The 24,241-nt window shown below is 42.0% G+C and overlaps 4 annotated features.

Annotated features, from left to right (window-relative positions):
- Positions 679-728: an enhancer, noted in NCBI's record as "active region_23009". NCBI's record gives its function as "activates an Ori minimal core promoter by ATAC-STARR-seq in GM12878 lymphoblastoid cells {active_cell/tissue: GM12878}" and the evidence as "EXISTENCE:reporter gene assay evidence [ECO:0000049][PMID:35858748]".
- Positions 2,688-3,273: an enhancer, noted in NCBI's record as "NANOG hESC enhancer chr5:123837876-123838461 (GRCh37/hg19 assembly coordinates)". NCBI's record gives its function as "activates a minimal SCP1, AML or CMV promoter by ChIP-STARR-seq in naive H9 embryonic stem cells {active_cell/tissue: H9 hESC(naive)}" and the evidence as "EXISTENCE:reporter gene assay evidence [ECO:0000049][PMID:30033119]".
- Positions 7,367-7,957: an enhancer, noted in NCBI's record as "H3K27ac hESC enhancer chr5:123833192-123833782 (GRCh37/hg19 assembly coordinates)". NCBI's record gives its function as "activates a minimal SCP1, AML or CMV promoter by ChIP-STARR-seq in primed H9 embryonic stem cells {active_cell/tissue: H9 hESC(primed)}" and the evidence as "EXISTENCE:reporter gene assay evidence [ECO:0000049][PMID:30033119]".
- Positions 7,958-8,549: an enhancer, noted in NCBI's record as "OCT4-NANOG-H3K27ac hESC enhancer chr5:123832600-123833191 (GRCh37/hg19 assembly coordinates)". NCBI's record gives its function as "activates a minimal SCP1, AML or CMV promoter by ChIP-STARR-seq in primed H9 embryonic stem cells {active_cell/tissue: H9 hESC(primed)}" and the evidence as "EXISTENCE:reporter gene assay evidence [ECO:0000049][PMID:30033119]".

Here is a 24,241-nt window from a genome sequence, read left to right as displayed (position 1 = left end):
GCTATCTAGAATATAAAAAGGGACACCTCCTGAGAAGCAGCAAATTCTCATTATTTTTGAAAAATAACTCTCTTTACAGATGAATTACATATCATTAAAAGTAGGTTCATTATTCTAAATTTAGAAAAAATGAATGAATCTGCAGGAAGAAAAAAATAAAACTTTTCCATAAACCTATTATCCAGAAAGAATCACTTCTGAGTTTGTTATGTTTCCAGTCACTCTCCCTGTCTATTTCTCTTTCTTTATGTAATTGTGTGTGTGTGCTTGTGTGTATGTGTGTGTGTGTGTGATAAGTATACACACACACAAACATGCAGAGCAAGGTCACAAAATTACATGGACTCAGATTACCCAGACAAATGAACCTTTATTCTCCTTTATTCTTCTATAACTGATATGATCTTCTCTGTGAATCGTCACATACTGTCTGTGGGAACAAAACCAAAAAATTTAGTTTAGTCCATAAACTCTGTCTGAGCTGAGGCAAAGACTTGCAAAGTTTCTTTGGATAACCCAGCTTTTTCCTGTTTGCTTCAGGTAAAATTCAGGCTTCCAGAGTTCTGTGCCCTTCCTCTCACTTTTCTCCAAAATGTGTCTAGGTGATGCATGTGACCTCAGGGCAGTGGGAGGAAGGGGTTTCTGGGTCCTTCTAGAAGGACTTGCTCCTTATGTCAGTGATCTTTGAAGTGCTATAGGTCCTAGGTGGCAGTTTCAGGTCAGGTATGACCATCTCCTCTGGGCCTATTTGTTCACAGTGCATGGAAGTTTCTTCATCCAGATTGCAGCCCTGGGGTCCTTTAGAGAGGTCTCATCCCCTAAGTCCCATCATCACCAACTCTAGCTCTTTTGTACTTGGTGCATAAACCTTGGGGAGCCAGGAGGTCTGCTCCCCTGCCACACCAGAAATCTTGCTGAGCTGGGTTGTATCTCTACACCCAAGGCGGGTGGGTGGAGGAAGTGCAACTGTATGAAAATAGTACTGCAAGTCAGTCTGGGATTTAGAAATTACTTTAAGTATTGCTCAGAGTGAAAAATGAGGGGTCTAACAATTGAGCATAGTTAAACTGTCCTTTTCCGAATAGGCTTTATTCTGTTTTGTAAATTCCACATTCCCTGCCTTGACCTCTCATGTGGGTCAAGATTTGTTCTTATAGAATGTTGCCGGGGTAACAATGCCTGTGGCTTTTCAAGGAATTTCAGGAGTGACTGAAGAGCTCTCTTCATCTGCTGGTGAAGCTACTTGGGGATAAGAAAGAGGTCTTATGTCAATTTGTTTCCTATTAAGATTACATTAATAAGCATCACTCATGCAAATCTCACAGGCGAGTAGTAATTCTTGGGCTTATGCTTCTGTGTTTCCAGAGAGAATTCTCCGTTTCTATGCCCATGCATCACTACAGCTCAACTCTAAAAAGACAAATAGGTTAATTCACTTTACTTGCTCCATGTCCTCTGAAAGTTACAACCCAGTTTTGTTTAAGTGGCCATTGAAGACAGTCTGGAGAAGTGTGGATCCTTTAAGAATTCAGTGGTGGAGCACATATTGTGTGCCTGATTGTATATGGACTGATATTTAGGGCAATTAAAGGATGTACTCTTTGACAGGTGCCAAGAAATTCCTGGGATTGACATCATGAAGTTGTCCCTGAATCAGGATAGAGGAGTAGGTGATGGAGGAAGCTGGAGACCACCCCAGTTCCCTATACCTAACCTGAAAGGAACAAACCACAGGGGTCAATTCTGATCTGGGTCTAACTGACCATGGAGTAGCCTGGAAGAGAGACCAGTGGCAAGGGTTGGATAGAACAGAGAAAAAAGTCTAAGGCTCTACCAGTTTCTCTCTGTGGGAAGCAGATATGCCCTGGTTCTTATGGTGTGTGCATTTGAGGGATAAAAGAGGAAATTGACCTCCTCTGATTTCCATTTGGGAGTTAAATCACTTTTGTACTGTGACCCCATCCCCTCAAGAAAACAAATCTCTATTAACATGCTTACAAAATATAGCATACAGCCATGAGCCAGACTGAACTTGATGGCAGAAATGCCAGACAAGGAGTGGGGAGCTTGTGGCTTTCTGGCTTTGACTTTAATCGGGTCGTCTTGATTACATAGCACAGGCAATGAGAAGCTTGATTAAATGACTTTAGTTCATTGACGTCTTTAAATAGCGGAATATGTAATTTGCAATTTTACCAACTCACTTACCTGTGGGTTACCATGGTAATAAAGTATATACTGAAATGACATTTGACATTAATTTTATTATTGTAATTTATAATCAGTGAAACAATAGCACTTCCCTACCAGTGTACTTCATTTTAAGGTAACTGTGGAAGACTAAATGTACTCACATCCTCAAAGTAGTTATGAATTATGGTATATTAAAGATAAAAGGTTAAGACCAATTCATCCATCATCCAAATTAAACTTTAAATTGATGTAGGTGGTTGGGTTAAATGGATTCTCTTGAAACAGGTATCCATCTGGCTTTCTAACCTGTGGATGGGTGGTACTTGGTCTTGGGATGAGTTACATTCAAATCCAAAATGTGTTATAATGGCATGATAGTACCCTAGCTCCTTGAGTTTAGCATTTCAACGCCAGAATGAGGTATATTTATACTTTGGTGGCAACCAATGGCTATGAGAACTAGGCCTTGGTTGAACTTTAATGGCTTAGTTAATATTCTAGGAAAAATTACTCATGCATAATTTCATGCACGTCTGTGTGAAGAGACCACTAAACAGGCTTTGTGTGAGCAATAAAGCTTTTAATCACCTGGGTGCAGGTGGGGTGAGTCCGAAAAGAGTCATCGAAGGGAGATAAGGGTGGGGCCATTTTATAGGATTTGGGTAGATACAGGAAAATTACAGTCAAAAGGGGGTTGTTCTCTGGCGGGCAGAGTGGGGGTCACAAGGTGCTCAGTAGGGGAGCTTTTGAGCCAGGGTGAGCCAGGAGAAGGAATTTCACAAGACAATGTCATCAGTTAAAGCATGAACAGGCCATTTTCACTTCTTTTGTGGTGGAATGTCATCAGTTAAGGCAGGAACCAGCCATCTGGATGTGTACATGCAGGTCACAGGCAATATGATGGCTTGGCTTGGGCTCAGAGGCCTGACATTCCTGCCTTCTTATATTAATAAGAAAAATAAAACAAAATAGTGTTGAAGTTTGGGGCAGCGAAAATTTTTGGGGGGTGGTATGGAGAGAGAATGGGCGATGCTTCTCAGGGCTGCTTCAAGCGGGATTAGGGGCGGCGTGGGAACCTAGAGTGGGAGAGATTAAGCTGAAGGAAGATTCTGTGGTAAGGGGTGATATTGTGGGGATGTTAGAAGAAACATTTGTCATTTAGAATTATTGGTTATGGCCTGGATACAGTTTTATATGAATTAAAAAACTGAATGGAATAAGAGAAGGAGAAAAACAGGTATAAAAGGTCTAAGAATTGGGACGACTCAGGACATCTGATTAGAGAGTGCCTAAGGAGATTCAGCATAGTCCTGCCAGCAAAGATTATTTATTTACTTCAAGAGTTAAGAGTGGCAGTTTGAGGATAGCACCAGGAGATATCAGCTGTGATGGCTTGGAGAAACAGTGTAAACAAGAGCAGGGCATGTATGAGTAGTTGAGAACCGTGAATAGGAGTATGACTAGACAGAAAGTAGTAGGGATGACAAGTTTTTTGGGGCACAGTCTAAGTTGGTCTGGTGTCTGGGATGAGACTGGGGCCTAATAAAAAGGAGCATCTATACAGGAGCTCAAATGGGCTGTACCCTGTAGCATTCTGAAGACAGGCCTGACTTCTGAGAAGGGAAAGTGGTAAAAGTATTGTCCGGTCATTTTTAAGTTGGTGGCTGAGCTTGGTGAGGTGTGTTTTTAAAAGACCTTTAGTCCGTTCTATTTTTCCTTAAGACTGAGGACCATAAGGGATATAAAGGTTTCACTGAATACTAAGAGCCTGAAAAACTGCTTGGCTGATTTGACTAATAAAAGCTGGTCTGTTATCAGACTATATAGAGGTGGGAAGGCTAAAGTGAGGAATTATGTCTGACAGAAGGGAAGAAATGCCTGCAGTGGCCTTCTCAGACCCTGTAGGAAAGGCCTCTACCTATCCAGTGAAAGTGTCTACCTAGACTAAGAGGTATTTTAGTTATCTGACTCGGGGCATGTTGAGTAAAGCTAATTTGCCAGTCCTGGGTGGGGGCAAATCCTCGAGCTTGATGTGTAGGGAAGGGAGGGGTCCTGAATAATCCCTGAGGAGTAGTAGAATAGCAGATGGAACACTGAGAAGTTATTTCCTTGAGGATAGATTTCCACAATGGAAAGAAAATGAGAGGTTCTAAGAGGCGGGCTAGTGGCTTATACTGTAGCATATCCTGCCTTTGCTGGTGTGTGGCGATTAGGCCTGGTGGAACTGCCATCAATAAATCAAGCGTGATCAGGGTAAGGAACAGGAAAGAAGGAAATATGGGGAAATGGGGTGAATGTCAGGTGGATCAGAGAGATACAGTCATGGAGGTCAGGTGTGGTATCAGGAATAATGTGGGAGGCCGGATTGAAGTTTGGGCCAGGAACAATCGTAATTGTGGGACTTAACAAAGAGTGAGTACAGCTGAAGGAGCCGAGGAGCAGAAAGTATATGCGTCAGGTATGAGGAAGAAAATAGATTTTGGAAGTTATGAGAGCTGTAGAGAGTGAGTTGAGCATAGTTTGTGATTTTGAGGGCCTCTAAAAGTATTAGGGCGGCAGCAGCTGCTGCACAGAGACATGACAGCTAGGCTAAAACAGTAAGGTCAAGTTGTTTGGACAGAAGGGCTATAGGGTGAGGTCCTGGCTCTTGTGTAAGAATTCTGACTGCACTAACCATGCCTAGGAAGGAAAGGAGTTGTTATTTTGTAAAAGATTGAGGTTTGGGAGATTAATCGGACACGATCAGCAGGGAGAGCACGTGTGTTTTTATGAGAATTATGCTGAGATAGGTAACAGATGAGGATGAAATTTGGGCTTGACTGAAGTAATGGGGGCTGTCTGTGAAGCCTTGCGGCAGTATAGCCCAGGTAATTTGCTGAGCCTAATGGGTGTCAGGGTCAGTCTAAGTGAAAGCAAAGAGGCTGGGATGAAGGGTGCAAAGGAATAGTAAAGAAAGCATGTTTGAGTTCCAGAACAGAATAATGGGTTGTGGAGGGAGGTATTGAGGATAGGAGAGTATATGGGTTTGGCACCATGGGGTGGATAGGCAAAACAATTTGGTTGATAAGGCGCAGATTCTGAACTAACCTGTAAGCCTTGTCTGGTTTTAGGACAGGTAAAATGGGGGAATGGTAAGAAGAGTTTATAGGCTTTAAAAGGCCATGCTGTAACAGGCGAGTGATAACAGGCTTTAATCCTTTCAAAGCGTGCTGTGGGATGGGATATTGGCATTGAGCCAGGTAAGATTGATTAGGTTTTAATGGGATGGTAAGGGGTGCATGATCGGTCGCTAAGGAGGGAGTAGAGGTGTCTTATACTTGTGGGTTAAGGTGGGGAGATAAAAGGGGAGGATGTGAAGGAGGCTTTGAACTGGGGGAAAAGGCAGCAATGAGGTGTGGCTGTAGCCCAGGAATAGTCAGGGAAGCAGATAATTTAGTTAAAGTGTCTCGGCCTAATAAGGGAACTGGGCAGGTGGGGATAACTAAAAAGGAGTGCTTAAAAGAGTATTGTCTAAGTTGGCACCAGAGTTGGGGAGTTTTAAGAGGTTTAGAAGCCTGGCCATCAATACGCACAACAGTTATGGAAGCAAGGGAAACAGGCCCTTGAAAAGAAGGTAATGTAGAGTGGGTAGCCTCTGTATTGATTAAGAAGGGGACGGACTTACCCTCCACTGTGAGAGTTACCTAGAGTGTCTGTGATGGTCCTGTAGGCTTCTGAGGTGATGGGGCAGTGTCAGTCTTCAGCTGCTAAGCTGAGAAGATCTGGGAAGGAGTCAGTCAGAGAGCCCTGGGCCAGAGTTCCAGGGGCTCTGGAAGTGGCTGCCAGGTGAGTTGAACAGTCTAATTTTCAGTGGGGTCCTGCACAGATGGGACACGGCTTAGGAGGAATCCCGGGCTGTGGCCATTCCTTGGTCTAGTGGCCAGATTTCCAGCACTTGTAGCAAGCTCCTGGGGGAGGAGGTTCTGGAGGAAACTCTGGCAGCTGCGGTTCAGGCATTTGAAGTTCTTGTGTGCTGGAGATGTGGCTGGGGTTTGTCTCACAGTGGAGGCAAAGAATTGCAACTCAGAAATATGTTTCTATTTGGTTGCCTCTACTCTATTATTGTACACCTTGAAGGTGAGGTTAATTAAGTCCTGTTGTGGGGTTTGAGGGCCAGAATTTAATTTTTGGAGTTTTATTTAATGTCGGGAGCAGATTGGGTAATAAAATGTTGAGAATAAGATGGCCTTTTGACCTTTTAGGGTTTAGGGCTGTGAAGCGTCTCAGGGTCGTTGCCGAACGAGCCATGAACTGGGCTGGGTTTTTCATATTTGATGAAAGAGCCTAAATGCTCACTGATTTGGGAGAGGTCTGATAAAGAAAAAGGAGCATTAACCTTGACTATGTCTTTATCTTCAGCCACCTTTTTAAGAGGAAATTGCTGGGCAGGTGGGGGAGGGCTACTCACGGAATGAAACTGTAAGCCGGACCGGGTGTGAGGAGGGGAGGTGATAAAAAGATTATAGGGTGGAGGAGCGGAGGCTGAGGAAGAATTGGGACCTAGCTCGGCCTGGTGAGGAGCAGCCTGGGGAGAAGGGGAGAAGTCAGATGGGTCTGTAGAAAAGGAAGATTAGAAAGACTCAGCAAGGCTTGCGATTGGGACTGAGGGGACAGGTGGGAGGGAAAGAAGGAAAATTTGGGACAAGTTGCATTGGGCACAGAGACTAGGGAGGCACGGATGTAAAAGAATGCCTGGACGTCAGGCACCTCAGACCATTTGCCTATTTTTCGACAAAAATTATTTAGGTCTTGTAGGATGGAGAAATTGAAAGTGCCGTTTTCTGGCCATTTAGAACCACTGTCGAGTTTGTATTGGGGTCAAGTGGCATCGTAGAAGAAAATAAGGCATTTAGGTTTTAGGTCAGGTGTGAGTTGAAGAGGTTTTAAGTTCTTGAGAGCACAGGCTAAGGGAGATGGAGGAATGGAGGGTGGAAGGTTGCCTATAGTGAAGGAGGCAAGCCTAGAGAAAAGAGAGAGAGACATGGAGGGAAGGGGTTCGGGGATTCTTATCTTCCAGAAAAGTGGGAAAGGGGTCGCGGTGCAGAAATAAGGGGTTGAGGCACAGAGATAAGAGGTTGGGGCATGGAAATAAGGGATCGGGGCACAGAGATACAAGATGTCAGAGCACAGAAATAAGGGATCGGGGTGAAGAGATACAAGGTTGGGGTACTTGTCCCTCCCCCAGAAAAACGAGACTTGCTGCTAAGGGTGAAGGAGAAGGGGTTGAGGGGTTCTTGTCTCTCCCCCAGAAAAGCAGAGAAGGGGTAGAGACACAGAGAGAAGGGGTTGGGGTACTGGCCCCTCCCCTAGAAAAGCAGGACTTGCCACTAAGGGTGAAGGACCAAGGCAGGCGTCCCTGCGTGGTCTGACACCTCTGAAACGTGGGTGAGTAATTAGAGAGGTGTCCCTGCAATGATTAAACACCAAAGGAAGGCTGCCTTCCCTAGTCCATGACTGGCGCCGGAGTTTTGGGTCCGCAGATAAAACACGTCTCCTTTGTCTCTACCAGAAAATGAAAGGAACTGAAATTAAGAGAAGGGAGAGATTGAAGTGTGATGCCAAGATTGAAAGGAGAAAGAAGGTGAGAGATAGTGAGGGAGGTTGGAGAAGAGAGTATAAAGAGGCCGCTTACCGGATTTGAAATTGGTGAGACGTTTCTTGGGCTGGTGGGTCTGAGGACCTGAGGTCGTAGGTGGATCTTTCTCACAGAGCAAAGAACAGGAGGACAGGGGATTGATCTCCCAAGGGAGGTCCCCCGATCCGAGTCATGGCACCAAATTTCATGCACATCCGTATGAAGAGAACACTAAACAGGCTTTGTGTGAGCAATAAAGCTTTTAATCACCTGGGTGCAGGCAGGGTGAGTCTGAAAACAGAGTCAGCGAAGGGAGATAGGGGTGGGGCCGTTTTATAAGATTTGGGTAGGTAAGGGAAAATTACAGTCAAAGGGGGGTTGTTCTCTGGCGGGCAGAGTGGGGGTCACAAGGTGCTCAGTAGGGGAGCTAGTGAGCCAGGATGAGCCAAGAGAAGGAATTTAACAAGACAATGTCATCAGTTAAGGCAGGAACAGGACATTTTCACTTCTATTGTGGTGGAATGTCATCAGTTAAGGCAGGAACTGACCATCTGGATGTGTACGTGCAGGTCACAGGGGATATGATGGCTTGGCTTGGGCTCAGAGGCCTGACACATAATAGAAACATAGGGAAGTTTGGACATTCTTTTATCTAATGATAGATTTGTGACAAAAAGGTAAAATAATGAGGTAATATAAAAGCATTTTTTTTGTTATGACTACCTCTAATAATATAGACTTCTGTAGTATAGAAGATCAGCATGGAAAAGGACCTAGGGCTTCATACTCATTTTGGAAATGATTCCACATGGATTTACCATCCTCCAGGGAAGGGATACAATGGACTTTGCTTATGTCTTGTGAAAAGGATGTTCAGTCCTGGCCCCCATTTTTATCTCTGCTCTTGACCACATCTGACTCTCAGGGTGTCCATATTGCTTCTTTTTCTCTCAGCATTCATGCAAGTTTATTGAGAACTTAGCTTTTTAAAAAAAAAAAATTCTTTCTGTGAGTGATTATTATAGTGGGAATATATTTCAGGATACTTCTTTTGCTTTTGACTAATAAAGGAAACTAAGTCCTATCAGAAGTAGTTGAATATTTCCTCCATGTTCTACAATGGTACATATTTTCTTTTAAATTTGGGGATGAGGATGCATAAAAAATTTTTTAGGTCTGGCTAATACATTGTTTTGTCAGACAGCCATGTGCAGAAATACTCATAAAAATAGATCCTATAATATATTTTAAGGGTAAATGTAATCCCTATAAGCTGTGAATAGTGTTAGAAAACATAGAATCCAACTCTCTTTCCTTAAAAGAAGCATTTATCTCAGAAGCCAATCAAAAAAATTGAACTCAATACACCCCAAATACCTTTTAGTTATTTATTGAAAAATTAATTCAAATTTTGTCACCAAGTCCTCACACTGATTATTTTTCCATCTAACCACTCATACAGCCAACCATAAATAATCAAGCCAAAACAACAATTGGCAGTCATAGAGAGAGAATGATATTAAAAGGTAGAAAATAAATGTATCCATCAGCTGATGGAAATAAAACCAATAACCAATGAAAATAGTAAAGAAAACATTAATTCAGGAGGCACCCTTTCCATTTGCCTTAGGAATCATGAGTAGCAATTTGAAACCCTGTTTTTCTCCTGGGAAGGGGTGCTGCCTAGAATATGATATAAACTATACTGATCAAATAAAGAGGAAAGCCTCAGGCTAAAACAGAGAGAAAGAAGTTACAACAAAGAAAAACAGCTAGTTGTATGAAATGACACATTTATACACCAATAAAGTAAAATTAGAAATCTCCCTCCACATAAATGTTATATTAGCTGCAGAAGAAAAATAGCTGTCTAACAGAGATCAGACTTGAAAAAGAGGATGACATAAAATAGAAGACAACTTCTAATAGTTCCCAGAGCATGCCTCCTTAATGTGTATATATATATATTTAGATTTTGATCATGATATAATATTAGTTTTGTTACATGCTATATAGAGTTACCAGAAAAAAATGAATATCTTAGGAAAAATGTAATGAGAAACAATATGAAATAGTACACATTGGAACAAAAAATTTGAGGAATATAGATTATTAAATTTTAGCAGGGATTTGACATTCTCTTTCTTCTTTGGAAATGTAAAGCTCTTGATTCAGGCCAAATGATATCCTATGGCTTTTGTGAGCATCACTGAGCTTAGAAAAGTGTAGCCAATGACAAAGTGAAATATTGCAGAGGTATGCTTTGGATGTGATGAATTTGTTATTGCAGAAGTTCCCATTAGAAATTCAATGTCATCTATTAGGAAGGCCTCTGTGCCTAAGTTTATACAGTACATGGCTTCTGAAAGGCAACAGACAAGTACAATTTTTGTAAATTAAATGAATGTGCTTGTCATTTGTGGCTCATCATTCTGTAAAACCGTAGTACATTTGTAATGTCAATGATTAGGCCTAAAATATCTAATTGATTAGATTTTCTAAATCAGATTTTATTAGAGTAAAGCATAAAAATATTGCTGACAGCAATTTAAATGTCTGTAAGGATACTAAAATGACAAAAAGAAAAGATAATTATAGGAAATCATGAATGATTCACTTCATAGTCAATACAATGTAAACAAGATTTTATGAGTGTTTAATCTTTGCACAACTGGTAATCACTTCACTTTTCTCCCTTCCTCAAGCTAAACTCTTTAGAGTCTCAGTTCATATTTTGATCTATCAACAGCATTTTTTTGAAGTTGATCATTCCTTTTACTTGAAACACTCTTAAGACACTACCCTCTGCTAGAAGTCCTCACGGCTCACTGAGACTTTTTTTTTCATCTTCTTTCTGGTTGTATGTCAACATTAAAATGTTTAGGACCTAATCCTTGGATCATTTATCCTCTATTTGACCTCATATACTTAATGATCTCATTGGACTTTACAACTTTATTTGCCATGTGTATGTGAACTGCATTCTCTTCATCCTTGAGCTCCAGACTACTCACCCATGCAACACAGGCAGCATCTCCTCTTGGATGTCTAATAGGCGTCTTGAGCTTAAATATGTGCAAAACTGAATGCTTAATTTTCTCCCTCCCCCACTTGCTCCTTGACATTGTTTCATTTCAGTAAATAAAAGCTCCATCCTTTCATTTACTGAAGCTCCAAACCCAAAGTCATACTTGAAGCCTATCTTTTTCTCATACCCCACATCTAACGCACTAGTGAAGCCCTGCCTCTGCTAATATCAGCCTGACCTAAGCCACTAACTTTCCTGTTTTATTGCAATGATCTCCGAGGCCATCTTTCTGCTTCTTCTCTTTTCCACATACAGTTTTTTTCCCCTCAAAGCAGTCAGAGTGATTTTTTAAAAAATCTAAGCAAGATTAAGTCACTTCTCTACCCAACCTCCTCCAATCACTTCCTGTGCCATTCAAAGCAAAAGACCAAGTCCTTGCATCAGCCTATAAGATCTGTGTGATCTGACCACTTGACCTCTCCGATTTCGTTCCTTTAAATGCTTGCCCTACCTCCCATGCACTTCTCCAGCCACAGCCTCCTAGCTGTCATGTCAGGATCACTCCCAACTCACAGCTTTTGCACCCTGAGTCCTGACCACTCTTCTTTCAGACACCTACATGACTACATTCATCTTTACTAAATGTCATCTTCTCCGTGAGGTCTTTCTAATCACCCAATGTAAATGGCAATTTCCACCCCTGCACCCCCTATACTCCCTATCCCTTTCTTAACATTCTCCATGGCGGTTATCACAATCTGGTGTGCAATGTTTTATTTCACTTAATACCCATCCCCTCCCATTCTAACATACGTTCCATGAAGAAAGAAAGTATTGCCATTTTTGTTCACTGCTCAGCCCCCAAAGAAGTGCCTGACATAGAAGAGGGTTAATTAGTATTTGTTGAATAAATGACTAAGTGTACCAATAGGGCTACTTTGAATATTTAAGGAATCTAACCTACATGTACAATCTATTGTAAGATCTGAACTTTGCGACTTACAGAATTAATAATCTAAACTTGGGACCAGGGTTTATGTAGTAGAGTATACCACCAATATAGGTGGATTGGAAGTTATTCAAGGAAAATAAATGCAAAATCAGTATCTGGCCAAGGCATTTGATTGCTCATCTAGCAGCTCTTTCCCCTTTTTCTCCTAGTGAAAGACTTCTGATTTTCTGACAGTTATAGTGAATTCCATCCAACTCTGGAATGAATTAAGATAAATTTAAGCCAATCATGAAAATGTCATTTTTCTTTGCCCAGTAACTAACTAGGACAGTTCTTTGTCAATGTGATGTAAAGTCTCTGGGAAAAATTTTCTACTCTCATAAATTAGGCAGTAGTACACAGGAAAAACTCTCTATTTGCCTTATTCCTTGCTTCTTGCTTTGGATATTGCTTTTTGGGATGCAATGCTTGGAATTGGAACAGCCAACTTGTAACCACGAAGGAAGCATCACCAACATACTGAGGATGCCTGATCAGAAACATGGAAAAAGTTAACATGCTTGCTGATAGTGTTGATACTGGCCAACCTCATTACAGCCTGCTTGCAGATTTCTTGATAGGGAAGGTAATAAATATTTGTGTGGCTTATATCACTCTTTACTGAGTAATTTTTTACCTGTTGCAAAATTATCCTAACTGAAACAGAGGACTTGAAAAAGTGAGGACATGGCACTGATTCAAATAAACCTCAATTGTAACAATGTAACCGGGGAAAACAAACACACAGCTGTTCTGGTGAAAAAATCCTGCAATCATTTAAAATCTTGGAGTCGAGCCATGTGGAGCCAAGATGGCTGACTAGAAGCAGTGGCGATTGGGGGCTCCCGTGGAAAAGAACCATAACATAAAGTGCGAATCCTGCACTGGCAACCGAGGTCTCCAGGCTCTGTTATCACAACTCACTAGGCCGCTGGTGTGGCCCACAGAGAGGCAGGAAGAGCAGTGTGGTGCGGCAGCCCACGTGAGAGCCACAATGACACAGGGCAGGGGAGCCCCCACTCCCCAGTCAAGGGAGGCTGTCAGTGAGCGTGCCACCCAGCCTGGGAAACCGTGCTTTGTCCATGGAACTGTGCAACCCACGGATTGGAAGATCCCACTTGTGAGCCCACCACCAGGGCCTAGGGTCCTAACCATGGAGCTGCACAGATTCTCAATAGCCAATCAGCTAGAATCTGCTTAAGCCTGTGAGCTCCCAGCGGGGAGGGGCGACCAGCACCACAGTTGCGGCTACCTGCTGTCTAAGCTGTTTGAGCTCCCTGGGGAAGGGGCGACAACAAAGTCTGGGACTGATAGCTGCCTAACACAATAAGTTCCCAGGGTGAGAGAAGGGCAGCAGCCATCTCTTTAGCTCCAGGCTGCACTTTTCCCTTGATGCAGCTGGGGAGGCTGGACAGCTTGGTCAGAGGGGGTATCCTCCACAGCCAACACACCAGCTGTGGCAGCTCTGCGGACCAGCAGACTTAGTCTTTCCTCCAGCTAGTTCTGAGGAATCCGGGCAGCCCAGACCAGTGCGTTTCCCCCAGGGAAGCATACCCCCTCCACCAAGGGACAGTCAAAGTGCTTCGTTAAAGGGGTCCTGCTCCCTGTGCCACCCAACTGGGTAAGACCCTCCAACAGGGGTTGTCAGACACCCTATAAAGCAGCATTCCTACTGGCATCAGGTCAGTGCTCCTCAAGGTCAGAGATCCCAGAGGAAGGAGCAGGCACCCATTTTTGCTGTTATCCAGTCTCCTCGAGTGACATCTCTAGGTGTGGGAGTGAACCAGATGAATAGGGCCTGAAGTGAACCCCCAGCAAACCACAGCAGCCCTACAGAAGAGGGACCTGACCATTATAAGAAAAACAAATAAACAGAAAACAACAACAATAGCATCTACAAGAGAAAAGGCCCCAGAAAACTTCAATGGTCAGCAGCCTCAAAGATTGACACTAGACAAACTCATGAAGATGAAAAAGAATCAGTGACAAAAACGCTGAAAACCCAAAAGGTGAGAGTGCCTCTTCTCCAGATGATCACAAATCCTCTCCAGCAAGGGCACAGAACTGGATGGAGGATGAGATGGACGAATTGACAGAAGTAGGCTTCAGAAGGTGGGCAATAATAAACTCCACTGAGCTAAAGGAACATGTTTTAACCCAACGCAAAGAAGCTAAGAACCTTGATAAAAGGTCACAGGAGCTGCTAGCTAGAATAATCACTTTAGAGAGGAACATAAATGACCTGATGGAGCTGAAAAACACAGCACAAGAACTTCGTGAAACATATACAAGTATCAATAACTGAGTCAACCAAGCAGGAGAAAGGGTATCAGAGTTTGAAGACCATGTTGCTGAAATAAGGCATGCAGACAAGATTAGAGAACAAAGAACGAAAAGGAACATACAAAGCCTCCAAGAAATATGAGACTATGTGGAAAGACCAAGCCTTCAATTGATTGGAGTATGGGAAAGAGATGGGGAGAATGGAACCAAGTTGGAAAACACAGTTCAGTATATTATCCAAGAGAACTTCCTCAACCTAGCAAGACAGGCCGACATTCAAATTCAGGAAATACAGAGAACACCACTGAGATCCTCCATGAGGAGATCAACCCCAAGACACATAATCATCAGATTCTCCAGGGTTGAAATAAAGGAAAACATGTTAAGAGCAGCCAGAAAGGCCAGGTCACCTACAAAGGGAAGCCCATCAGACTAACAGTGGACCTCTCAGCAGAAACCCTGCAAGCCAGAAGAGAATGGGGACCAATATTCAACATTCTTAAAGAAAAGAATTTCCAACCCAGAATTTCATATCCAGCCAAACTAAGCTTCATAAGCAAAGGAGAAATAAAATCCTTTTCAGACAAGCAAATGCTGAGGGATTTCATCACCACTAGGCCTGCCTTGCAAGAGCTCCTGCAGGAAGCACTAAATGTTGAAAGGAAAAACCAGTACCAGCCACCTCAAAAACACACCAAAATATAAGGACCATTGACACTATCAAGAAACTGCACCAACTACTGTGCAAAATAACCAGCTAGCATCATGATGACAGGATTATATTCACACATAACAATATTAACATTAAATGTAAATGGGCTAAATGCCCTGAATAAAAGACACAGACTGGCAAATGGGATAAAGAGTCAAGACGTATTGGTGTGCGTATTCAGGAGACCCATTGATATGGTCTGGCTATGTCCCTATCCAAATCTGAACTTGAATTGTGTCTCCCAGAATTCCCACATGTTGTGGGAGGGACCCAGGGGGAGGTAATTGAATCATGGGGGCCAGTCTTTCCTATGCTGTTCTCTTGATAGTGAATAAGTCTCACGAGATCTGATGGGTTTATCACGGGTCTCTGCATTTGCTTCTTCCTCATTTTCTCTTGCTGCTGCCATGTAAGAAGTACCTTTCGCCTCCCACCATGATTCTGAGGCCTGCCCAGCCATATGGAACTGTAAGTCCAATTAAACCTCTTTTTCTTCCCGGTCTCGGGTATGTCTTTATCAGCAGCATGAAAATAGGACCAATACAGTAAATTGGTACCAGCAGAGTGGGGCATTGCTGAAAAGATACCTGAAAATGTGGAAGCAACTTTGGAAATGGGTAACAGGCAGAGATAGGAACAGTTTCATGGGCTCAGAAGAAGACAGGAAAATGTGGGAAAGTTTGGAACTTCCTAGAGACTTGTTGAATGGCTTTGCCCAAAATGCTGATAGCAATATGGACAATAAAATCCAGGCTGAGGTGGTCTCACATGGGGGTGAGGAACTTGTTGGGAACTGGCACAAAAGTGACTCCTGTTATATTTTAGTAAAGAGACTGGTGGCATTTTGCCCCTGCCCTAGAGATTTGCGGAACTTTGAACTTCAGAGAGATGATGAGGGGTAAATGGCGGAAGAAATTTCTAGACAGCAAAGCATTCAAAATGTGATTTGTGTGCTGTTAAAAGCATTCTGTTTTGAAAGGCAAATGGAGCATAAAAGTTTGGAAAATTTGCAGAGCCTGATGATGCAGCAGAAAAGAAAAACCCATTTTCTGGGGAGAAATTCAAGCCAGTTGCAGAAATTTGCATAAGTAGCAAGGAGTCTAATGTTAATCCCCAAGACCATGGGGAAAATGTCTCCAGGCCATGTCAGAGACCTTCATGGCAGGCCCTCCCATCATAGGCCCTGGAGGCCCAGGAAGAAAAAGTGGTTTCATGGGCCAGACCCAGGGACTCCATGCTGTGTGCAGCCTAGGGACTTCTTGCCCTGTGTCCCAGCTGCTCCAGCCATGACTGAAAGGGACCAATGTACAGCTTGGGTGGTGGATTCAGAGGCGGAAGCCTCTATCCTTGGTAGCTTCCATGTGGGGTTGAGCCTGCAGGTGCACAGAAGTCAAGAATTGAGGTTTGGGAACCTGCACCTGGATTTCAGAAGATGTACAGAAATGCCTGGATGCCCAAGCAAGAGTTTGCTGCAGGGGCAGGGCCCTCATGGAAAACCTCTTCTAGGGCAGTGCAGAAGGGAAATGTGGGATTGGAGTCCCCCACACAGAGTCCCTACTGGGGCACTGCCTAGTGGAGCTGTGAGAAGAGGGCCACAGTTCTCCAGACTCCAGAATGGTAGATCCACCAACAGCTTGTGCAGTGTGCCTGGAAAAGCCACAGACACTCAACACAAGCCTGTGAAAGCAGCTAGGAGGGAGGCTGACTCCTGCAAATCCATGGGGACAGAGCTGCCCAAGACCATGGGGACCCACCTCTTGCATCAGAGTGACCTGGATATGCGACCTGGAGTCAAAAGAGATTATTTTGGAACTATAAAATTTGATGGCCCTGCTGGATTTCTGACTTCTATGGGCCCTGTAACCCTTTTGTTTTGGCCAATTTCTTCCATGTGGAATGGCTGTATTTACCCAATACCTGTACCACCATTGTATCTAGGAAGCAACTAGTTTGTTTTGATTTTACAGGCTCTTAGACAGAAGGGACTTGCCTTGTCTCAGATGAGACTTTGGACTGTGGACTTTTGGGTTAATGCTGAAATGAGTTAAGACTTTGGGGGACTGTTGGGAAAGCACGATTGGTTTTGAAATGTGAGGACATGAGATTTGGAGGGACCAGGGGCAGAATAATGTGGTCTAGCTGTGTCCGTATCCAAATCTCAACTTGAATTATATCTCCCAGAATCCCCACATGTTGTAGGAGGGACCCAGAGGGAGGTAATTGAATCATGGGGGCTGGTTTTTCCCATGCTATTCTCGTGATAGTGAATAAGTCTCATGAGATCTGATGGGTTTATCAGGGGTCTCTGCATTTGCTTCTTCCTCATTTTCTCTTCCTGCTGCCATGTAAGAAGTGCCTTTCACTTCCCGCCATGATTCTGAGGCCTCCACAGCTATATGAAACTCTAAGTCCAATTAAACCTCTTTTTCTTCCCAGTCTCAGGTATGTCTTTATCAGCAGCATAAAGACAGACTAATACACCCATCTCATGTGCAAACACACAGAGGCTCAAAATAAAGTGACTGTGGAAAATTTAGCAAGCAAATAGAAAGCAAAAAAAAAAAAAAAAAAAGTGCATATATATTTAGGATATATAAATCTGAGTACCCAATACAGGAGTACTCAGGTTCTTAAAACAAGTTCTTAGAGACCTACAAAGAGACTTAGACTTTCACACAATAATAGTGGGAGACATTAACACCTCACTGTCGATATTAGACAGATCAATGAGATGGAAAAATTAACAAAATATTCAGGACTTGAACTCAGCTCTGGATCAAGTGGACCTAATAGACATCAACAGAACTTGACTTTATCCCTGGGATGCAAGGCCTGTTCAATATATGCAAATCAATAAACATAATCCATCACATAAACAGAAGCAATGACAAAAACCACATGATCGTCTCAATAGATGCAGAAAAGGCCTTTGATAAAATTCAAAGTTCTTTCATGTCAAAAACTCTCAATAAACTAGGTATTGATAGAGTATATCTCAAAATACTAAGAACTATTTATGGCAAACCCACAGCCAATATCATACTGAATGGGCAAAACTGGAAGCATTCCCTTTGAAAGCTGGCACAAGACAAGGATGCCCCATCTCACCACTCGTATTCAACATAGTATTGGAAGTTCTGGCCACGGCAACGAGGCAAGAAAAAGAAATAAAGGGTATTCAAATAGGAAGAGAGGAAGTCAAATTGTCTCTGTTTGCAGACAACATGATTCTGTATTTAGAAAACCCCATTGTCTCAGCCCAAAAACTCCTTAAGCTGATAAGCAACTTCAGCAAAGTCTCAGAATACAAAATCAATGTGCAAAAATTACAAGCATTTCTATACACCAACAATAGACAGAGAGCCAAATCATGAATGAACTCCCATTCACAATTGCTACACAGAGAATAAAATACCTAGGAATACAGCTAACAAGGGATGTGAAGGACCTCTTCAGGGAGAACTACAAACCACTGCTCAAGGAAATAAGAGAGGACACAAACAAATGGAAACACATTCCATCCTCATGGATAGGAAGAATCAATATCATGAAAATGGCCATACTGTACAAAGCAATTTATAGATTCAATGTAATTCCCATCAAACTACCATTGACATTCTTCACAGAATTAGAAAAAAACTATTTTAAATTTCACATGGAATCAAAAAAGAACCTGTATAACCAAGGCAATCTTAAGCAAAAAGAATAAAGCTGGAGGCATCACGCTACCTGACTTCAAACTATGCTACAAGGCTACAGTGACCAAAATAGCATGGTACTAGTACCAAAACAGATATATAGACCAATGTAACAGAACAGAGACCTCAGAAATAATACCACACATCTGCAACCATCTGATCTTCAACAAACCTGACAAAAACAAGCAATGGGAAAAGCATTCCCTATTTTATAAATGGTTCTGGGAAAACTGGCTAGCCATATGCAGAAAACTGAAACTAGACTCCTTCCTTACACCATATACAAAAATTAACTTAAGATGGATTAAAGACTTAAATGTAGGCTGCGCATGGTGGCTCACACCTGTAATCCTAGCACTTGGGGAGGCGGAGGCGGGCAGATTACCTGAGGTCAGGAGTTCGAGACCAGCCTGGCCAACATGGTGAAACCCTGTCTGTACTAAAAATACAAAAATTAGTTGGGCATGGTGGTGGGTGCCTGTAATCCCAGCTACTTGGGAGGCTGAGGCAGGAGAATTGCTTGAACCTGGGAGGCTGAGGTTGCAGTGAGCCAAGATCATGCCACTGCACTTCAGCCTGGGTGACAGAGGGAGACTTTGTCCAAAATAAATAAATAAATAAATAAATAAAGACTTAAATGTAAAACCCAAAACCATAAAAACTATAGAAGAAAACTTAGGCAATCCATTCAGGACATAGGAGGCGTGGGCAAAGACTTCATGACAAAAATGCAAAAAGCAATTGCAACAGAAGCCAAAATTGACAAATGGGATCTAATTAAAGTAAAGAGCTTCTGCACAGCAAAAGAAACTACCATTGGAGTGAACAGGCAACCTAGAGAATGGGAGAAAATATTTGCAATCTACCCATATGATAAAGGTCTAATATCCAGAATCTACAAGAAACTTAAACAAATTTACAAGAAAAAACCAACAACCCTATCAAAAAGTGGGCAAAAGATATGAACAGATACTTCTCAAAAAAAGACATTTATGAGGCCAACAAACATGAAAAATAGCTCAACATCACGGATCATTAGAGAAATGCAAATCAAAATCACAATGAGATACCATCTCATACCAGTCAGATGGTGATTATTAAAAAGTCAAGAAACAATAGATGCTGGCAAGGCTGTGGAGAAATAAGAATGCTTTTACACTGTTGGTGGGAATGTAAATTAGTTCAACCATTTTAGAAGACAGTGTGTCAATTCCTCAAGGATCTAGAACTAGAAATACCATTTGGCCCAGCAATCCCATTACTGAGTCAATACCCAAAGGAATATAAATCATCCTACTATAAAGACATATACACATGTACGTTTATTACAAGATTATTTACAATAGCAAGGACATGGAACCAACCCAAATGCCCATCAATGATAGACTGGATAAAGAAAATGTGGTACATATACACCATGAAATACTATGCAGCCATAAGATGGAATGATATCGTGTCCTTTGGAGGGACATGGATGAAGCTGGAAGCCATCATCCTCAGCAAACTAACACAGGATCGGAAAACCAAACACCGCATGTTCTCACTCATAAACGGGAGATGAACAATGAGAACACATGGACACAGGAAGGGGAACATCACACACTGGGCCTGTTGGGGGCTGGGGGAAGGGGGAGAGAGAGCATTAGGACAAATAGCTAACACACGTGGGGCTTAAAACCTAAATGATGGGTTGATAGGTGCAGCAAACCACCATGGCACACATATACCCATGTAACAAACCTACACAGTCTGCACTTGTATCCCAGAACTTAAAAAAAAAAAGAATTAGAGGTAAACTGTAAAATATTAACAATAACAAATAAATAAAAAAATAAATTCTTGGAGTCTGCGGAGTGACTATCCTGCCCTCTAGGCAGTGTTTTTGGATCTCTGCATAGAATAGAAAATATGAAGCAGAATACAAAGTAGTGCTACATTCTCCTCTGCAGTCTAGGCTCTGGGGCCCTCCTTCCCCCAGTACAGGCATGACTTGTTTTATTGCTCTGTGCTTTATTGTGCTTCACAGATACTTCATTTAAAAAAAAAAAAAATTGAAGGTTTGTGGCAACCCAGCATTGAGCGAGCCCATTGGCACCATTTTACCAACATGCTGTGCTCATTTTGTGTCTCTGTGTCACATTTTGGTGATTCTCCTATTATTTCACACTTTTTCATTAGTATGATATCTGTTGTGGTGATCTGTGATTAGAGATCTTAGTTGTTACTGTTGTCATTGTTTTAGGGCATCACAAACTGTGCCCACACAAGACAGCAAACTTGACAGATAAATGTGTGTGTTCTGACTGCTCCACTGACTAGCTGTTCCCCTTTCTCCCTTTCCTCAGGCCTCCCTATTCCCTGAGACACAATGTTATTGAAATTAGGCCAATTAATAACCCTACAATGGCCTCTAAGTGTTCAAGTGAAAGGAAGGGACACATATTTCTCACTTTAAATCAAAAGCTAGAAATGATTAAGTTTAGTGAGGAAGGCACTTTAGAAAGCTAGCCCACTTGCACAAAATAGCCAAGTTGTGAAGTCAAAGAAAAAGTTATTGAAGGAAATTAAAAGCACTACTCCAGTGAATACACAAATGATAAAGCGATGCTGAGCATCAGTCCTTTGCAGCAACATGGATGCAGCTGGAGGCCATCATCCTAAGCAAATTAAGGCAAGAATGGAAAACCAAATACTGCATGTTCTCACTTATAAATGGGAACTAAACATCAAGCACACATGGACATAAATATGGGAACAATAGACTCTGTGTACTACTAGATGGAGGAGGGGAAGGGAGGGGTTATGGGTTGAAAAACTACCAATTGGCCACTATGCTCACTACCTGAGTGTTGGGGTCCATACCCCAAACCTCAGCATCATGTAATATTCCCATGTAACAAACCTGCACATGTACCCCTTGTATCTAAACTAAAAGTTGAAATTAAAGAGAATGAAACACCCTTATTGCTAATGTGGAGAACATTTGAGTGGTTTGGATAGATCAACCCAGCCACAACATTCCTTTCAGCCAAAGCTTAATCCAGAGCATGGACCTAACACTTTCCAATTCTATGAAGGCTGAGAGAGATGAAGGAGCTGCAGAAGAAAAGTTGGAAACTAGTAGAGGTCTGTGCATGAGACTTAAGGAAATAATCCTTCTTCATAGCATAAAGTGCAAGCTGAAGCAGCAAGTGCTGATGTAGAAGATGTAGCAAGTTATCCAGTAGATCTAGTTAAGATAATTGAAGGTGGCGACACTAAACAACAACTGTTCAATGTAGATGAAACAGCCTTCCATTGGATGAACATGCCATCTAGGACTTGTGTAGTTAGAGAGAAGTCAATGCCTGGCTTCAAAGCTTCAAAGGACAGGCTGACTCTTTTGCTAGGGGCTAATGCAGCTGGTAACTTTAAGAACACAGTGCTAATCTACCATTTTGAAAATCCTAAGGACCTTATGACTTATTCTAAACTTACTCTGCCAGTACTCTAGAAATAGAAAAACAAAGCTGGGTAACAGCACATCTGTTCACAGTATGATTTGCTGAATATATTATGCTCACTGTTAAGACTTAATGCTCAGGAAAAAAAATCCTTTTAAAATATTACTGCTCATTGACAATGAACCTAGTTACTTAAGAGCTCTGATGGAGATACACAAGAAGATTAATGTTGTTTTCATGTCTGGTAACATGACACCCATTCTGCAGCCCATGGATCAAGAAGTAATTTCAAATTTCAAGTCTTATTATTTAAGAAATAAATTCATAAGGCTATAGCTATCTGCCACAGATAGTGATTTTTCTGATAGATCTGGGCAAAGTAAATTGAAAACCTTGTGGAAAGGATTCACCATTGTAGATTCTATTAAGAACATTCTTAGCCAGGCACTGTGGCTCACGCCTGTAATCCCAGCACTTTGGGAGGCCAAGGCGGGCAGATCACTTGAGGTCAGGAGTTCAAGACCAGCCTGGCCAACTCCCATCTCTACTAAAAATACAAAAAATTAGCTGGGCCGTGGCAGGAGCCTGTAACCCTTGCTACTTGGGAGGCTGAGAGAGGAGAATCCTTTGAACCTGGGAGGCAGAGGTTGCAGTGAGCTGAGATCGTGCCACTGCACTCCAGCCTGGGCGACAGAGTGAGACTGCATCTCAAAAAAAAAAAAAAGAACATTCTTGATTTATAGGAGGGGGTAAACATTTAACACTAACAGGAGTTTGGAAGAGGTTGATTTCAACCCTCATGGATGACTTTGAGGGGTTCATGACTTCAGTGGGGGAAGTAACTACATATGTGATGGAAATACCAAGAGAGCTAGAATTAGAAGTGAAGCGTAAAGACATGACTGAATTGCTACAATCTCATGATCCAGCTTGAATGTATGAGAAGTTGCCTTTTATGTGTGAGCAAATAAAGTGTTTTCTTGAGATAGAATGTACTCCTGGTGAAGATGCTGTGGACACTGTTAAAATGACAACAAAGGATTTAGAATATTCCATATACTTAGTTGATAAAGCAGTAAGAGGGCTTGAGAAGACTGTCTCCAATTTTGAAAGAAGTTCTACTATGGGCGAAATGCTATCAAACAGCATTGTGAGCTGTAGAGAAATCTTTTGTGAAAGGAAGAGTCAATCAATGTAGCAAACTTCACTGTTGCCTTATATTAAGGAATTGCCACAGCCATCCACCTTCAGCAACCCCTACCTTGATCAGTCTGCAGCCATTGACACTGAGGCAAGATCCTCAGCAAAAAGACCAACCAGCAAAAGATGCCAATTCCCTGAAGGCTCAGGTGATCATTAGCATATTTTAGCATAAGGTATTTTTAAATTAAGGTATGTACATTTTTTTAGACATGATGCAATTGTACACTTAATATACTATAATGTAGTGTAAACATAACTTTTATATGCACCGAGAAACAAACAAATTAGTGTGACCCGCTTAATTTTGATATTCATTTTATTGCAGTAGTCTGTCTGGAACCAACCCCGCAATGTCTCTGAGGTGTGCCTGTGTAATGATGAGCATGATTGGTGCCTGGCTGGGGTCTCCCTCGCAGCCCTTCATACTCAGGACTGAGGACATGAAATGCCCTATGTGAGATCATCCACACAGGGAAGATCTGCATTCTGTAGAGTTAAAGCAGTGGCCACCTTATTTTTGCTAGATTTCTATTTCTCATTATTTTTCCTCTTGAAGTCAGTTCCAAATCCTCTGGCTTCAATAAAACAAGTCTCTTCTAACATTTTCTTTACAGTGTGGAGCCATTGTTCATGCTCAATTAAAGATGATGACGAATAACACAACCAACAGTAATTAGTAGCTTGAAAGAAAATGATGGCTAAAAAAACGGTAGGGAACTTCCCAGTAGAGTTTTATTTCTATATTGACTAGCCTTATGAAAAAAATGTAGCGGAAGCATCATTCACCTGGGATGGAAAAAGTCTGGACAAATAGCAAGAATAGATGACAGTGGGGAATTCTGCGATAGTGAGGTAATGAGCTGAAATGCCCAATGGTTTTTCATCCTATTTAATTTCAAAGGTTTAATTTTCACCATTACCAAATGGTGATTATTACATCCCCTCCTGAACACAGCATTGACCTAGATCCTACCCCCTAGAAGGATATTACGCAAGCATGCATTTTGAATTTCCCTTGGTTATATTCATAAAAAAAATAGTACGTGGCAAAATGCTCTTAATAGAGCATGACCTTG

This window comes from Homo sapiens, chromosome 5 (genome assembly GCF_000001405.40).
Source record: "Homo sapiens chromosome 5, GRCh38.p14 Primary Assembly".
NCBI lineage: Eukaryota > Metazoa > Chordata > Mammalia > Primates > Hominidae > Homo > Homo sapiens.
Note: the sequence above shows the minus strand (reverse complement) of the source record. Positions and strands in the feature narration are given on the sequence as shown.